The sequence below is a fragment of the Homo sapiens genome, chromosome 3 (genome assembly GCF_000001405.40).
Source record: "Homo sapiens chromosome 3, GRCh38.p14 Primary Assembly".
NCBI classification, from domain to species: domain Eukaryota; kingdom Metazoa; phylum Chordata; class Mammalia; order Primates; family Hominidae; genus Homo; species Homo sapiens.
Window position 1 is genome coordinate 193,479,519 of NC_000003.12, and position 19,372 is coordinate 193,498,890.

General features: G+C 35.2%; 1 protein-coding gene across 4 annotated transcripts in view; it reads right to left on the reverse strand.

Moving 5' to 3' along the window:
* ATP13A4 (ATPase 13A4) overlaps nucleotides 1-19,372 on the reverse strand; it is a 194,153-nt gene that overhangs the window by 80,552 nt on the left and 94,229 nt on the right. For all 4 annotated transcript variants that reach the window (XR_007095757.1, XM_047449063.1, NM_032279.4 and 1 more), the window contains 5 exons: nucleotides 13,572-13,642; nucleotides 13,399-13,479; nucleotides 11,811-11,880; nucleotides 10,212-10,346; nucleotides 4,418-4,487 (listed from right to left, as the gene is read on the reverse strand). Coding sequence is in view for 3 of the 4 variants with exons in the window: in XM_047449063.1 (XP_047305019.1) it covers nucleotides 4,418-4,487; nucleotides 10,212-10,346; nucleotides 11,811-11,880; nucleotides 13,399-13,479; nucleotides 13,572-13,642 (427 nt within the window). In the remaining variant the exon portion in view is untranslated. The remainder of the gene's footprint in view (nucleotides 1-4,417; nucleotides 4,488-10,211; nucleotides 10,347-11,810; nucleotides 11,881-13,398; nucleotides 13,480-13,571; nucleotides 13,643-19,372) is intronic.

Consider the following 19,372-nt stretch of genomic DNA (forward strand, 5'->3'; position numbering starts at 1 on the left):
TAGCTGCAAAATACAATAAAATACTTAGAAATACGCCTAAACAAAGAGGTGAATGACCTCTATAAGGAAAACTACAAAACACTGCTGAAAAATTATAAACGATACAAACAAATGGAAATATGTCCCATGCTCATGGATGGGTAGAATCAATATTGTAAAAATGACCATACTGCCAAAATCAATCTACAAATTCAATGCAATTCCCATGAAAATACCATCATCATTCTTCACAGAACTAGAAAAAATAATCCTAAAATTCATATGGAGCCAAAAAAGAGGCTGCATAGCCAAAGCAAGACAAAGCAAAAAGAACAAATCTGGAGGTATCACATTACCCAACTTCAAACTATACTATAAGACCACAGTCACCAAAACAGCATGGTACTAGTATAAAAATGGGGATATAGACCAATGGAACACAATAGAGAACTTAGAAATAAAGCCAAACACTTACAGCCAACTGATCTTTGACAAAGCGAACACAAACAAGTGGTGAAAGGTCACCCTAGTCAACAAATGGTGTTGGGATAATTGGCAAGCCACATGTAGAGAATGAAACTGAATCCTCTTCTCTCACCTTATAAAAAATCAACTCAAGATGGATCAAAGGCTTAAATCTAAGACTTGATACCATAAAAATCCTAGAAGATAGCATTAGAAAAACTCTTCTAGACATTGGCTTAGCCAAAGACTTCATAACAAGAACCCAAAAGCAAATGCAAATAAATAAATAAATAAAGATAAATGCATGGTACTTAATTACTTAATTAAACTGAAAAGCTTCTGCACAGCAAAAGAAATAACCAGCAGAATAAACAGAACATCCACAGAGTGGGAGAAAATCTTTGCAATCTATACTTCTGTTGAAGGACTAATACCCAGAATCTACGAGGAACCCAAACAAATCAGCAAGAAAAAAACAAACAATGCCATCAAAAATTGGGCTAAGAACATGAATAGACAACTCTTGAAAGAAGATATAAAGATGGCCAAGAAACATATGAAAAAGTGCTCAGCATCACTAATGATCAGGGAAATGCAAATCAAAACCACAATGCGATATCACCTTACTCCTGCAAGAACGGCCATAATCAAAAAATCAAAAAATAAGAGATGTTCACGAGGATGTGGTGAAAAGAAACACTTTTACACTGTTGGTGGGAATGTAAACTAGTAAAACTGCTATGGAAAACACTATGGAGATTCCTTAAAGAACTAAAAGTAAATCTACCATTTGATCCAGCAATTCCACTCCTGAGTATCTACCCAGAGGAAAATAAGTCATTATATGAAAAAGATACTTGCATGTGCATGTCTAGAGCAGCACAATTTGTAACTGCAAAACTATGGAACAAGCCCAAATGCCCATCAATCTATGAGTGGATAAAGAAAATGTGGCATATATGTAACATGGAATACCATACAGACATAAAAAATGAAATAATGGCATTTGCAGCAACCTGGATGAAATTGGAGACTATTATTCTAAGCGAAGTAACTCAGGAATGGAAAACTAAACATCATATGTTCTCACTCATAAGTGGGAGCTAAGCTATGAGGACACAAAGGCATAAGAATGACACAATGCACTTTGGAGATTCAGGGGAAAGGGTGGAAGGGGAGTGAAAGATAAAAGAGTACACACTGGGTGCAGTGTACACTGCTCAGGTGATGGCTGCACCAAAATCTCAGAAATCACCACGAAAGAACTTATTCATATACCAAAATAAATAAATAATTTTTAACCAGGAAAAAAACTTATATTCCCCTTAAAAATATTTTATTTCCTTTAATTGGTTGGTTACATCACTAGAGCATGTTTTGAACTTTATATTCTACATATGTATATAATATAAACAAGCCTGAAATAGATACCAAAAAGGGTTATAATACAAAAACACATACATATTTCCACAATTTAGAATACACTTACCAGTTTCAGTAATTGCATAACCTGTATCACTGCACTTATGGCTAAACACTGGTAACCCAGCCAGGTGTAGAGCATTTTTGTGTTTTTCAGGATGTATTACAAATTATTATTTTTTAAAACAGAGCTACATTTTAAGTGTGTGCAGATGTGAATTTTGGCTTACAGAACTGTTTTTAATGTTCATCTATGGTATTTTCTTGGCAAAGAAAATCGACATTTGTTCCCACTGCATGACTTTAACAGAGAGATCAGTAGACATCTTAGGAATACTCTAAGGAAGCAACCCCAGGTTATGGAAAATATCTCATAAAACATTGGCATCTTTGAATCTTATTTGTGACCATTGTTTATGTTATTGTACATTTCATATTAGTACTGAATGAGGAATTCTAACAGATTTTTAAATGAGCTTCTAAAGATTTACAAACTTAAGCCTGTATTTCTATAAATTATTGTAATTCTAAAGAAACCCCAGCATTTTTTAAAGAAATTGACAGGTTGTGTTCAAAAGTCATATGGAAACCCAAAGGGCTCAATAGTGTCAAAATAACTCTAAAAGAGAAGAGCAAAACTGTAGGACTAACATTACCCTATTTCAAGACTTATTATAAAGCAACTTTGTATGGTATTGCTATAAAAAAGCAAATAGGTCAATAAGATTGGGTAGGAAATCAAGAGATAGATCCACCTATATGTGAACAATTGATTTTTGACAAAAGATGAAAACTCAATTCAGTGGAGAAAACATAATCTTTTCAACAAACAGTATTGGAACATTTGGATATCTGTTTGCAAAAGATGACCCTCAATCGAAAAAAAACAAAAACAAAATTCAAAATGTAATATAGAACTACATGTAAACCCTAAAACTCTGAAAGACAATACAGAAAATCATGGTGACCTTAACAAAATATCTTAGAAATTACATCAAAAGCATGATCCACAATAGAAAACATTGATAAACTGGACTTTAACAAAAATAAAAATGTCTGCTCTTTGAAAAACACTGTAAAGAGAATGGGAAGGTAAGTCATAGACTGAGAGAAAATATTTGCAAATCATTTATCTGATAAAGGACTTGTATCCAAAATGTAGAATAAACTCTCAATTTTAATAATAAAAATAATCTAATAAACAACAGATTTGAACAAATACTTCACCAAACAAGGTATATGAGCAGCAAATAAGTATTTGAAAAGATGTTCAATGCCATTAGTCATTAGGGAAACACAAATTAAAACAACGATGAGATACTACCACACACCAAAGTGGCCAAAATTAAAATGAGTAACCATACCAAGTGTTGTCAAGAATGTGGAGCACCTGGAACTCTCATACACTGCTAGTGTAAAACGGCGCCACTGCGTTGGACCAAAGATTGGCAGTTTCTTAAAATGTTAAATATCTATCTAGTACATGACCCAGCTGTTCTATAGCTAGGTATTTTCCCATAAGAAATGAAAGAGCATGTCTATACACGGCTTGTATCCAAATGATCATAACACCATTCCTTGGAATAGCCAAAGACTGGAACCCAAAAATGCATCAACAGGTGAATGGATGAACAAACTAGTATGTCTATACACTGAGATAGCCTCAGAAATAAAAGGAATCAATGATTGATACACTTAAAAAAATGGATAAATCCCAAAATAACTATGAACTTTGATCCCCCCCAAAATTAACCAAAAATATATTATAAAAGACCCAAAGAATACATACTGTAAAATACCATTTATGTATAATATTGAGCCTGGAAATGAATCTACAGTGACAGAAAGCTGATAAATGATTGCCTGAGGGATGGGGGAGTTGGGAGGAAGCGGGAGAGAAAAAAACTAGAAACAGGAACAAGGCAACTTTTGGGAGTGATGAATGGTCATTACCTTGAGGATTATGATAGTTTCATGGGAATATACATATGCCAAACTTATCAAATTCTACACTATAAGTATGTTAAGTTTACCAAATGTTAATTCCACCCCAATAAAGTAGTTTTTTTGTTTGTTTGTTTTGTTTTGTTTTGTTTTTGAGATGGAGTCTCGCTCTGTCACCCAGGCTGGAGTACAGTGGCGCGATCTCGGCTCACTGCAAGCTCCGCCTCCCGGGTTCATGCCATTCTCCTGCCTCAGCCTCCTGAATAGCTGGGACTACAGGCGCTCGCCACCACGCCCGGCTAATTTTTTGTATTTTTGGTAGAGACAGGGTTTCACCGTGTTAGCCAGGATCGTCTCGATCTCCTGACCTCGTGATCAGCCCGCCTCGGCCTCCCAAAGTGCTGGGATTACAGGCGTGAGCCACCGCACCCGGTCTAAAGTAGTTTTTAAGGTAAAAAAAAAAACTTAAGTTCCTCATCCCTTTGAACAAATGCCTAAGGAGAAATGAATATGAAGATGGGAATAACAGCAGCAATCAGAAATACAAATTTAAATTCTTTTCTGATTCCATGTGAATAGCATATAGATCTAAAATAATGGAACTTACCTTTTCTCCCACATACAGAGACCGTAATGCTATTATGTGACTCGACGAGATGGTGGAGTTTTACAGATTGCTGAAAAAGAAGGAAAAATGGAAAAGTCTTATCTATTTGAGCATAGTTTCTAGGTATTATTAAGGTGCTAGGCTTCTTTAAAGATAGAGCACTGTCTTACTGCCAGTTGAATGGAATGTACTGGCTAAAAACAAAGGACTAAGTACTCATTATTTAATTGAAAAAGCATCCAACTTCTAGTGCTCTTCACCCAGCAATAAGTATGTTTTCTTCAGCAGAAAGGAATTTCCCAGCATGCTCTTTCCACTCAGAAGAGTTTTTGACACTGAACTCCAGCCTGGGCGACAGAACAAGACTCTGTCTCAAAATAAATAAATAAATAAATAAATAAATAAATAAATAAATAAATAAGGAGTATGGTGGTTCCTGCTACTTCCTCATAATATTTGCTGTTCTAATACATGAAATATGTGGGATATTGAGAGTGAGTCAGTAACAGAAACAAACAAAAAACACAATTATATTTGATTCCACATTATTAGGAAACTATTGTGTAAAAGACCTTCTACTTGATTCTGGGGGTTAAAAGTCCCAGTCATTTAGTGTGTTCATTTTGTCGTCCTGATTTTGTCATTTAAGATACTTCCTAAATTCCCTAGCTTCAAATTATTTGCGAATCTGATAAATATGTTCTAAAAATGATTAACAGAATAAGCCAATGTCAAAAAGACAGGGTGTTCTGCTTTTGAGTAACTCATTCTTTTACCCATTTGTGCATTAATCAACAAACATTTATTGAGCAAATTTTAATATTTCAGGAATAGAATGAACAAAAGAGATATGGTTCTTAACACCAAGAAATTTACAGCCTGCTGAGAAAAGTAGGTTTTAATCAAGTAACTACATATATAAATGTATAATGACAATCAGGAATAAGAAGAAAAAATAAAGTACTTTTGGATCATTTATAGCAAAGGGAATCAATCAGGAGAAATCTCCCCTGAAGAAGTGACATTGAACCTAAGATCTGAGTAGGAGTTATTTAGCCAAGGGGTAAGGGCAAATCATGAAGATGAAAAAAAAATGGACAATTCCAGGTGACATATCGAAATGTTCTGAGGTTCGAAAAAAAGACTATGTTTCAGGAAACAAAAAGCCTAGTGCATCTGGAAGGCAGAAAGCAAGGGAAATGCTGGGTGAATGAAGGCAGGAGAAATAAGTCAAAGCAAAAAAAGAGTATGTTTCAGGAAACAAAAAGCCTAGCGCATCTGGAAGGCAGAAAGCAAGGGAGATGCTGGGTGAATGAAGGCAGGAGAAATAAGTCAAAGCAGCAGTTACACGTACAGGTAGAGCAGCAGTTACACGTACAGGTGGAGCAGCAGTTACACGTACAGGTGGAGCAGCAGTCCTTAGAGAGTGGCCTGAGGATTCCTGGGGGTTTTTAGGAATGTCCCACAGGGGCTGAGCAGGTATACCCTTTTCATAATGGCACTAAGGTGTTAATTGCCTTTTAGCATCTTATTCTCGCACAAGTGTACAGTGGAGACGTCCAGAGGCTGAGTGGTGTTTAATATCACAAGAGACTAAATGCAGAAGCAGTTATGAAAATCCAATTGTCGGAAATAAAAAAAGAAATACGATTATCAAAGTATTAAAATCAATTGACATAGAAATTTTTTAAAAGACTGCCACAGTCTGAATGTGACCCAAAATTCCTATGTTGAAATCCTAGCCCCCAAGATGATGATATTAGGAGAAGGGGCCTTTGAAAGGTGATTAGGTCATGAATAATTTCAGTGCCCTTATAGAAGAGACCCAGGAGAGACGCCTTGTCTCTTTCACCATGTGAGGATGCAATAGGAAGGTACCATCTCTGAACCCAGAAGAGAGATCTCACCAGACACTGAATCTGCTGGTGTCTTGATCTTGAACTTTCCAGCCTCCATAACTAAAGAAATAAATTCTGTTGCTTATAAGCCAAAAAAAAAAAAGAAAATCCAATTGTCTTCTATTAAACCAAACATAAAAGAGATTGCAAAAATGTAAAATAATGCCATTCTCCTGCTAAATTATTTTTATTTCAGAAAATACAGTTGTCTTTAAATATATATGTATATATAAATATGTTATTATTATTTTAAATTAATTAATAAATATTTTATGATTCTGAGTTTTAATTCTTAATTTGGTAAATACCAAATGTTTAAAAGATTAAAAACTCTTAGAGATCCTCAGTGATTTTTAAGAGTTTAAAGAGCTCTAGAAACTAAAAAGTTTGTGAACCTCCAGGGAAAGCTTTAAAGTCTGCGATGAGATTTAGAAGTTTATTGTAAGACCAATGGGAATATTTTGAAGCATTTTAGTGATAAAAGCATGTAAATAATCATATTCTGCAAGAATGATGTATGGAGGCCAGATGGGAGGTGATTGCAAGGTAGAAAATTATGCTAACTTGAACCGTAATAGTGGTAGGGTGGAAAACAGTGAAGGATGCCAGGGGATATTTAGGAAATAAAAATCAAAGGACTTTCTGTGTAGTTGAAGGGGAAGAAGAGAGAAAGTTTCAAGGTTGGCAACCAGATTTCTGGCTTGTGCAACAGAATGGTCAGCAGTATCTGCTACCACATCAGATAAACCTAAGTGCAGATTTGAGGAGAAGAGTTCTTGAGTTTTATGTCAAAAGTGTTGAATTTAAGGTAATTTTTTGATATTAAGGTGGGGATATCAAATAGGTTGTTGAAGCTATGAGTCTGCAACTGAAAAGAGGTATCTGGATTTGAGATACATATACAAATTTGAAAGCTATTAGCATATGCCTTTAGAAGTCATTGGCATGTACAGCTATAAAAATAATGAAGAATCTTTTATGCACTTACATGAAAAGATCCTCAAGATATATTAATAGTAATTTTTTAAATAGCAAGTTAGAAAATAATGTAATTATGCTACCACTTACATAAGAAAAAAAGAAAGTACATATATTTGCTTCATTTGCCTAAAAACTTTTTTGGAAGATTACACAAGAAACTAATGTAAGCAGTCGGCCAAGTGGAGTGGGAGAGAAAAATGGAGCCTTTACATTAAATGCATTTTCATGTTGTTTTGACTTTGGAACACTCATTTTTTAAAAGTCAGATAGAGAAGGATGAGCTATCAAAAGAGAACGGAAAAGAGCAACTGGAGAGGATGGAGAGTGTGTTGTCCCTGAAGCCAGGGAAAAGAGTGCTTCAGAAAGAATGGAGCAGTTAACCGTGTCAAATCCAACTGAGAGGTTTAGCGATATCGGTACTGGGGAAAAAAAAATATCCACTGCAGGGGGACCATAACATTAGTAAGCAAAACACCAAGACCTAATAAAAATTAATAAAGGACTCAAACAGTTCCCAGTCAAAGAAATGCAAATGGCTTAAAGTGTGAAGAAATGCTCAACTCGTAATGGAAAACGTGATTAGAGTTACTGAATTCTATTTTCACTTATATTGGCAAAGATAAGAAAAACACTTATCTACTGTTGTAAGGAATGTAAACTGGTATTACTTTTTTATATACATAGAGAGACGAGGTCTCACTATGTTGCTCAGGCTGGTTTGAACTGCTGGGTCTAAGCTATCCTGCCACTTCAGCCTCCCAAAATTCTGGGATTACAGGTGTGAGCCTCCACACCTGGCCAGTATTACTTTTTAAAGAGGCATTTTGACAATATGTTTAAAATAGTGTGCCTAGCTTATGACTAGGTAATTTCAATTGCAGAAATTTTCTATCTCTATATCAATACAGATATTTATAAGCATACATACTTGTTATATACATATGTATAGGTATGTAATATGTGTGCATATGTATATGTATATATAGATGCATGAAAAGATATATGTGCAAGGATGTTCTTGCAGCATTGTCTTAGTAGCAAAAGACTAGAAACAACCAAATACATATCAACATTGGACTGGTTAAAAATTACGGTACATCTAGAGAAAATGTATTTGTGCAGATGCAGAAAGATATTTAGGATATAATAGGTTCAAGTTCAAGTGGAGGCTGGGCACGGTGGCTCACGCCTGTAATCCCAGCACTTTGGGAGGCTGAGGTGGGTGGATCACTGGAGGTCAGGAGATCAACACCATCCAGACCAACATGGTGAAACACCGTCTCGACTAAAAATACAAAAATTAGCCGGGTGTGGTGGCACATGCCTGTAATCCCAGCTACTTAGGCGGCTGAGGCAGGAGAATTGCTTGAACCTAGGAGGCAGAGGTTGCAGTGAGCCAAGATCACACCATTGCACTCCAGTCTGGGTGACAAAAGCAAAACTCCATCTCAAAAATAAATAAATAAATAAAATTCAAGTGCAGAACAGTACACATAGAATATATTCATTCTGTTAAACAAATTAATGCATATGCATTTAATATAACTAAAAGTATACAGAAAATATGGTCCTAGTGGATGTATCTTGAAACAGGACCTGAACACTGGGAAGTTTTCCCAGCGGGAGGGAGCCTTAATTTTTATTCACACTCTTTTGTTCGGTTTGAATTTTATTTTTATCATAGCCATATATTGCCCTTTCTGTTAAGGAAAAAAACAGCTAATTTTAAAAGAACTTTTTAAATTTTAAAATGATCTATGGGCTTTGGGATCACAGTGGCAACCTTAACAAGATTTGTTTAAATGGAGTCATGAGGGAGGAAGACATGTCGGCATGAGTGAAAAGTAAGAGGAAGATGAGTAAGTAATGATAACAGACACAAAGACTCTAGAAGTTTTACTGTGAATGGAAGAAGAGTGATATAGTAGTAGCTGAAGGCAGAAGCACGGTCAAGAGAAGAAATTGTTTTGTTTGTTTGAGTTTTGTTTTTAAGTTGGGAGAACTTGAGAATGTTAAAAGTTGATGGGAAGGCTCTTGAGGAGAGAAGAGAGGAGTCATTCATGGACTGCACAAGCACCCCAGGAAGGTGGGAGTGGATGGTCTCTCAAGCACTGGCGAAGGGCACTTCCTTCACTGGAATGAGAGTTCAGGGAAGGAGGGGGCTGCGGAGATGAGTCATTTGGCACTCGGAAAGTGGGGAGTTGGGCAATTTTCTGTCTTATGGCTTCCATCTTTTTTTGTGAAATAGTGATATCTGCTGAATTAAAGAAAGAGTGGAATATGAGAAGATGGGCGTCTCAGACACCAGAGGACAGAGATGGCTTGAAACCTTAATTTCAGAGAACAGAAGAGCACCTTGATTAGAGATGAACAGAAGCCTTGTCCGGATGAGGTTGGCATTCACGGATTTATAGTGCAACCAACCAATCTGTTCTATGTAATTTTTTTTTTCCAACAGTATCTAGAAACCTGGTGTAGGCATAAAGAAAGTCAGGAGTTGGACTGGGGCCTTGACAAATGAGTACCAGCCAAACATAAACAGCAAAGGAGTTCATATTAAATAGACTCCTCCACCTTCCAGCTCTCTGCCACCATCCTCAAGTCCCATCAGTATTCTCTACATAAATTTTTTCACATATTCACAATTCATAAACCTTTGGATGTTGTTCTGGCTAATTAGTCTTGAGTAAATTAAAGAGGGAGGAAAAATAACTACAAAGGTTAGGGATTGGAATGGGAGGAAAGGGAAAGGACTAAATTGTTGAACACTGGTTACTGTGCTAGGTATTTACAAACTTGCTCTCATTTACTACGGAGTAGGAAGTGACTATTTCCTGATTCTCCTTTCTAACAAATTTTTAATAAAGTCATTATCCTTCCCTTTATGAAACCATAGAATTAATAGAAAAACTCACCTCTCTGAGATCATATACTGTCAAAGATATGGAAATTATGGACATGATTATGATGGCAAAAGCATATTCCTTATAGTCTTCACTAAACCACAAACAGACACTGAAGAGTTGAAATATATAAAATGGATTTAGAACCTGTTGGCAGACATAAAAACAGGAAGACAAGGGAGAGTTTTAGGCTTCACTCTGCTCTTCATTTACTTGTTTTCATAATCATCTTCATGACATACATCATCCCACACAATATTCTTATTATATTTATTCGGCAATTGACACGTGCCAGACACCGCTCTAAGCAACTTTACTTGAATTTTCTCATTGAATTCCCACAGTTACCTTATTAACCAGAAGTTGTTACTTATCTCCTTTGTAATGATAAAGAAACTGAAACTTAGAGCTTGAGAAATACGTCCAAAGTCATGCGACTATGATTGCCACAGACCCAAGACTTAAACACAGGCAATCTGACCCCAGAGCACTTACTTTTAATCACTGCCTCACTTTATAATTTACAAAGTAGTGTCTCATGTATTGACATGTCGGCCATCACAATAGTTATTTAAGGAGTAGATGTTGTCACCTCCTGTCTACATTTACTGGCCTTCAGAAAGGTGAAGTATTAGTTCAGGTTTATAAAGTTAAAATACTTTCTAGTCTCTTCTTCTCTATGATATAACACCTGCCATATTTGAAGTCATTAAGGAACTTGATTAATGGGTGAGTTGAAGACTGCATGTTCTCATAAGTAGAGAGCTGTGCTGAAAGCAGTAAGCTGTAATAGAGCATCTAGAACACTGTGCGAGAGAGTAGCTGTGAACTTCAACAGCTTTAATTCTGCTTTGGTCAAAAACATGCTGTGCCTTTACTTAAATTCCCCCTAGCTGGTTTCCCTCTCTCTAAAACAGGAATGGCAAACCTTTCTTCTGGTTAGAAAGGCAGCACACAGAAACATTCCCTATTGGTTTGTTTTACTTTCTTTCATGCTTGACGGCTTGTTGGAAATATTTTGAAAGTACCTGAAGTTTAGTAAGCTTGTTTTAAGGCAAGGAGGAGTCGAGAGAGAGCACAGGGAAGCCAGAGGACAGCTAGAGGGCTACGGTTTGATAATAATCGCTGTAAAGTGAAACAATGATGAGCTCAGTGATGGGGTCCAAAAGGAAAATTTCATCTTATACCTTGAGATCAGCAGTACTGAGAAGGCTGAATAAATGGTTTTTTTCTTCCTACAATTTTAGGCACCAAGGAAATTGTATCTGTTACCTAACAAAAGGATTAGCTTAAAAAAAATTGAGTTTCATGAAGTTAAAACAAGTTAAGCAGCATAGTATTAAAAAAGAAAAGAAACATTATATTCATCCAGCCATTAAATGGTAAATAAGTACAATGAGTTTCACACCCTATATTGCATAAGGCAATGTGCAAAAGAACCACTTGAAGAAAAAGAGTAAGCAAGAGATATGAGGATAATATGCTTGGCATACTTTCAAAATATACTCTATGTGAAGTTACTTATTAACAATTAGCACTCCTGATTATTTCACTAGAGCCAAACTTCCTTATTTTCTGTCCAACACCAAGAGAAAATGCTGGAGAAATTACCTCCTTGATGAGCAGTTTCCAAATTGGTGTAACTTCAACATCGATAGTATTAGGCCCACATATTAACCTCCTATAGAAAGAAATCACAGATCACTCTGTCACAAATAATAAAATTAAAACTGACTCCTCACCTATTCAGAAAAAGGTCTATTCCATGTTCACTTTCTCACTTGTGAGACCAACATAAGTCTCCCTTGTTAAATACCATTCTGATCCTTCTCAAAATAATGGGAGGTGAGGGTTCCCAGTTGCAAAAACGATAAATATGACCATATTGCTTCTAGAAGCATACTCTTTCCAAGGTCTAAATATTTTCCTAAATGGTATTTTGGGTATTTAATATTAAATATTGTCTCATTCAAGTACTTTCAGGATTGGCATGTTCCCAACTCTGTCTCTCCTCAATTCCGGTTTTATTACTGTAAGACAGTGAGGTAGTTAAGAGAAATTACTTTTATTGATAAGGAAATGCTGTTTCTACTTTCCTACCCCTATTTAGAAGTTCTGGAAAACTTCAGAATGTATTTTAATGTGAGTGGAAAGGCTCTGTGATCTCAAAAATAGCTCTACACACATAATTATTCAGCTTTTTGATTCAGTGTCTCTAAAACCCAGAGATGTGTTTCTTTGATTATGCAGAGGAAAGACATTTTATGAGTTATGTTACTGTTGAAAACACTAACCGCTTTCTCTGTGTCTTCCACCTCGATGCTCAGATTAAATAGCTTGGTCAAATGTATGAGAGCAGTGCTTCTCAAACTTTAATGTTTATATAGATCATGTGGTGATATTGTTAAAATGAAGATTCTGATTCAATGGGATGAAAAGTGGTCTGAGATCCTTCATTTCTAACAAGCTCCCAGGTGATGCTGATTCTGCTAGGCTGTACATCTCTTCAAAGTACTAGAAATGGGGAAGGGGGAAGCATGTGAATCATAGAAACTTAGAACAGCAAGGCCTTTAAAGAGTCCTTCTACCCATGTCTATGATTGGGAAACAAAGGTCCAGAGAGGAAAAGGTATTTGTTCAAAGCCCACAGACTCTTGACATACCAGTGCCCTCCCTAAACCTCTCTCCTCTGCCTAATAACTGATTTGGAAATGTGGAGCTACACATCTTGCATGGTGTTCTGCTGCTGCTCCATGGTTATTATTTAACTGCGTTATCATGGTCTAATATGTATTTCTTGATTTTAACCTAAAATGGCTCAACTTTATATTATAATAACCTTGAGAAACTTTGTATGGAGTAGAAAGAGCATTACATCTGCAGTCAGGAGTGTGGGACTCAGTTCTTCCGCTACTAATTCCCATCTGTGTGACCTCGTTCCGGCCATGAAACCCCTCTGAGCCTCAGATTTCTCATTTGTTGTGTGGAAATGGTGATAATGTCTGTTCTACCTGCCCCATAAGGTTGCTGTGAAGATGATGTAATATAATGTATGTGAAAGATTTAATTTAATAATACTAAATAGAGCATTATAATATTTTCTGATATTAATCCATTAAGATAACTATTTACTAGCTGTCTATTTGGCTAACTGATAATAATCCTTTTGAGCTAGTATAGGCAATAATATGCATGGTACCTAATCTCCTGTTCTTCTCTTGTCAAGCCTGATCCAAATTTTTGATGTATCTTGGCAGAACTAAGCCAGTCTTCCAAAGAACTAAAATAATAATAATGAAAAGAACATATTTAGCAATAATATTTTTGAGATAACATTTTTCTTCTTTGGCTGTACTTGCTAAAACAACTTACCCAATTTTCTGGAACTGTCCTTCTAAGTAGTTCCAAACATATCTTATTTTCTGCACTTTGATGCATCTCACCTGCAAAAGAAAAGTACTAAGAAAACCTCTAGTTTGAGGATCAGAGAATAAACAGCAACCCAGTGGCTAAAGAAGCATTTGTTTGAAAAGCAAAGATAAAACTCTAACATACTTATTTAAGATTTTATCCTTTTCTAATTTACCCTTTGCTTTTCTACCATACAAATGGTATTCTTTATTAGAAGTCATCATTCAATCAACATGTATCATGGACCTACTATATAGAAAAATATATATGAATAAAACTTAGTCTCTGCATTCTACTACTTTATAAACTAAGGAGGAAAAAATTCCAAAAACAAGGCATACAGTCCAATATGTACCATGCCAAAAAATAAAAACATAATAACATAAAAAATACGGTCTTGAAATGCTGTAGACGTAAAGAGAGAGAAGATGATGGAAGGCATCATGATGGAGATGATGTATGAGTTACAGTGTCGAAGGATTGGAAGACTTATACTCAGATGAGAAAATAGAAAGTATTTTAAAGAGATTGTTCACAAGTTAGTTTGGGGGAAGAAGGCAAGTGAGCACGCCTGTTTGTAGAATGAAGAATGAAGCTAGAAAGGTAAACTGAAACCAAAGTATTGATACAGGAGTTAAGAAGAAATTACTTGGGCAGATAATGAGGCTACATAAGTCCTCGGTAAGGTTTTCTTTTTAATGAAAAGCAGTGCCCAGTCATTTTCCTTTCTAACATAAAAAGAGCCAACTATATGCTACCTCCAAAGAATCATTTAACTAGTAATAACATACAGAGACTGAAAATGAAAGAATGGAAGAAGACATTCCATGAAAATGGAAACCAGAAAAGAGTAGAAATAGTTATATCAGATAAGATACACTTTAAATGAAAACTATAAAAAGAGACAAAAAAGATCATTGCATAATGACAAAGGAGTCAACTCAGTAAGAGATTAACACTCATGTGTATGCACCCAACATTGGAGCACCTAAATATATAAAGCAAATATTAATAAAACCAAAGGGAGAAATGGACTGAAATACAATGATAGTAAAAAATTTCAACACCTCACTCACAGCAAAGAACAAATCATTCAGACAGAAAATTAACGAAGAAATATCAAATCTAAACTACACTCTAGACCAAATGGACCTAATAGACACTTACAGAACATTCCATTCAACAGCTGCAGAATATACATTCTTCTCAACTGCTCATGGAACAGTCTCCAGAATAGATTATACATTAGGTCACAAAAAAGTCTTAACAAATTTTAAAATCATATCAAGTATTTTTTTCTGACTATAATAGTATAAAAGTAGAAATCACTAAGGAAGCAAGAAAAACTTTGGAAACTCTGCAAATACATACAAATTAAACAACATGCTCCTGAACAACCAATTGGTCAACAAAGAAATTAAAAGAGACATTCAAAATTTCTTGAGACAAGTGAAAATGAAAACACAGCTTACCAAAAACCTATGGGATACAGAAAAAGCAGTTCTAAGAGGTCAATGTATAGCAGTAAACACCTATATACAAAAAAGAATGATCTCAAATACACAATCTAACATTGCACCTCAGGGAAAATGAGAACAAACTAAATCCAAAATTAATAGAAAGAAGGAAATAATAAAGATCAGAACACAGGTAAATAAAACGAGACAACAAAAGGTCAAAAAACCCAAAGAGCTGGATTTTTTAAAAGATAGACAAAATTAACAAATGTTTAGTCAGACTAAAGAAAAAAAGGGTAGACTCAAATAAAGTCAGAAATGAAAAAAGAGACATTACGAATGATAACAAAGGAATTGAAAAAGACCCTAGGAGATTATTATAAACAATTATATGCCAACAAGTTTGATAAATCTAGAAGAAATGGAAAAATTCCTGGACACATGTAAGCTACCAAGATTGAATCATGAAGAAATACAAAATGTGAACAGATGAATTAGCAATGAGATTGAATCAGTGATAAAAAGTCTTGCATCAAAGAAAAGCTCAGTACCTGATGGCTTCACTGCTGAATTCTACTAAACATTGAAAGAAGAATACCAATTCTACTCAGACTATTCCAGAAAATTGAAGAGAGGAAAATATTTCCAAATTAATATGCATCAGGTGATATGCATCACCCTGATAACAAAACTAGACAAGGGCACAACAAAAAAGAAAATCATATGTCAATATTCCTGACAAACCTAGAAGCAAAAATTGTCAACAAAATTAAAGTTAACAGCACATTAAAAAGATCATTCACCATGATCAAGTGGAATTCATCCCAGGATACAAGGATGATTCAACATATGCAAATGAATAAACATAAAATATCACATTAACAGAATGACACACAAACACCATATGATCATTTGAACAAATACAGAAAAGCATTTGACAAAATTCAACATCCTTTCATGTTAAAAACTCAACAAAATAGATATAGAAGGAACACATCTCAACACAATAAAAGCCATGCAAATCAACAGCTAATATCATACAAAATTGGAAAATATTGAAAGTTTTTCCTCTAAGACCTAGAACAAGACAGGAATGCCTGTTTTCATCATTTTTATTCAACATACTACGGGAAGTCCTAGCCAGAGCAATTAGGCAAGAGAAAGAAGTAAAAGGCATCAAAATTGGAAAAGAACTTAAATTGCCCCTTTTTGCAGATTACATGATATCATATATAGAACGTCCTAAAGCCTCCACTAAAAAAAACTAATAAACAAATTCAGTAGAGTTACAGAATACAAAATCAATGTATAAAAATCAGCAGCATTTCTATACACTAATAGCAAACTATCTGAAAAAGAAATCAAGAAGCTATCCCATTGGCAATGGCTACAAAAAAATAATAAAATACATAGGAATAAATTTAACCAAGGTCTTGAAAAATCTCTACACTGAAATCTACAAAACATTATTGCAAGAAATTGAAGAAGACAAAAATAATTGAAAAGATATTCCATTCTCATGGATTGAAAGAACTAATCTTATTAACAATGCCCATGCTATCAAAAGCAATGTACAGATTCAATTCAATTTCTATCAAAATACCAGTGATATTCTTCACAGGAATAGAAAAAACAATCCTAAAATTTGTATGAAACCACAAAAGACCCTGGATACCCAAAGCAAATAGAGCAAAAAGAGCAAAGCTAAAGGCATCATACTATCTGACTTCAAATTTCACTACAAAGCGATAGTAACTAAAACAGCATGGTGCTGGCAGAGAAATAGACATATAGACCAATGGAACCACATAGAGAAAACAGAAACGAATTCACACACTTGCAGCCAACTAGTTTTCAACAAAGGCGCCAAGAACACACAATGGATAAAGGATAGTCTCCTTAATAAACAATGCTAAGATAGGCCCTGAGGCATAGTGGCTCATGCCTGTAATCCCAGCACTTTGGGACACTGAGACAGATGGATCACTTGAGGTCAGGAGTTTGAGACCAGCCTGGCCAACATAGCAAAACCATGTCTCTACTAAAAGTACAAAAGTTAGCTGGGCATGGTGGTGGGTGCCTGTAATCCCAGCTGCTCAGGAGGCTGAGGTAGGAGAATCGCTTGGACCTGGGAGGCCGAGGTTGCAGTAAGCCGAGATCGTGCCACTGCACCCCAGCCTGGGAGACAGGGCACGACTCTGTCTCAAAATACATAAATAAATAAATAAATAAATAAATAAATAAATAAATAAATAAAACTGAGAAACCTGGCAATCCACATGCAGAAGAATTAAGCTAGACCCCTGTATCTTACCATACACAAAACTCAACTTGAAATAGATGAAAGACTTAAATGGAAGATGGGAAATGATAAAACTACTAAAAGAAAATATAGGGGAAACGTTTCATGACATTGGTCTGGGCAAGGATTTTTTGGATAAGACCCAAAAAGTGCAAGCTACCCCAAAACAAAAATAGGCAAATGAAATTACATCAAGCTAAAAGTTTCTATACAGCAAAGGAAATAACTAACCAAGTGAAAAGACAACCTACAGAATGGAAGAAAATATTTGCGAACTGTGCATCTGACAAGGGGTTAATATCCAGAATACATAAGGAACTCAAAAAACTCAAGAGCAACAAAACAACTATTTGATAGAAAATGGGCAAAAGACCTAAACAGACATTTTTCAAAAGAAGACACACAAATGGCTCACAGATAAATGAAAACATGCTCAACATCACTAATCATCAGGGAAATGCACGTCAAAACCACAGTGAGCTATCACCTCACTCCAGTTAGAATGCTATTATCAAAAGACAAAAAAATGACAAATGCTAGCAAGGATATAAAGAGATGAAACTCTTGTACACTGTTAGTGAGACTATAAATTAGTACAGCCATTATGAAAAACAGTATACAGGTTCCTTATAAAATTAAAAATAAACTATCATATGATCCCACAATTCCAATAATAAGTATATATCTAAAGGAAAAGAAATCAGTATGTCAAATAAATATCTGCACTCTCGTGTTTATTGCAGTACTATTCACAATAACCAAGATATGGAATTAACCTAAGGGTCTATCAATGGATGAATGGATAAAGAAAATGTACATGTACATTTTCTTTGTGGAATGTTATTTGGCCCTAAAAAGAAGGAAATTCTGTCAATTTTGACAATGTGGATGAACTTTGAAGAGATGTGAAATGAAATAAACAAGACACAATAAGGCAAATACTGTAGGATCTTACTCATTTGTGAAATCTAAAAAAGCTGATGTCATAGAAGTAGGGAGTACAATATTGGCTATCCGAGGTTGGGGGGAATAGCATAGACAAAGGGATAGAGGAAGATTGGTCAACAGTACAAAGTTATAGTTAGATAGAAGGAATAAATTCTGTTGTTCTTTTGCAGAGCAGGGTGACTATGTTTAATAATATTGTATTGTATATTCCAAAATAGCTAGAAGAAAGGATTTTGAATATTATCACTACAAAGAAGTGATAAACCTATGAGGTGACAGATATGCAAATATACGAATTTGATTTATACATAATGTATACATGTATCAAAATATCACACTGTACCCCATAAATATGTACAATTATTATTTGTCAATTAAAAACAAAATTTTAAAAATCCTGGTAGCCAGATTAAACCAGTAAAAAAAAGAAAAAGAAAAAGATACTAAAATACTGAAAAAGATTAGGCTGGCAGCAAATACTAAAGAACAAAGAGGAGGTTATTACAAAAAAAAAAGGAAGTGAGGGTCTGAGACTGTTGGCAGTGGGAGAAAAGGGAAGGGTTGACGCTTATGACAATTGTGTGTTCTTGCTTCTGATTCTTTAAGCAAGTTCATATGTGAATGTGAATTTCCGTGAACTGATGACCTAACTGAACACAAAAAGAAACAGCGAGACTGCCATATTGTCACAGAGCAATGGTTATTATACTCTCAGGCTGCTCATTGGAATCATCTGGGGAGCTTTGAAAAAGACTGCTGTCTGGCCCCACCCTTAAGGATTCTGATTTAATTTGTCTGCAGTGCATTCTGGGCATAATATTTATAATTTTCCTCACATAATTTTAATGTGCAGCCAACAGTGTCTAGAGCTTCCTTTTGTAGCTACTCTGCTAGATTCCTATTTGAGAACTTCAACTAAATTTTCCTGTGCTTCAGTTTCCCCATGAATAAATTTAGACAATTGGACAGATTATGTCTATATTCTACCTCAGCTTCTCTCTAGGTATTCTATGTGCAAGAATATTATAGTCATTATAACCATTAGATACATTTTA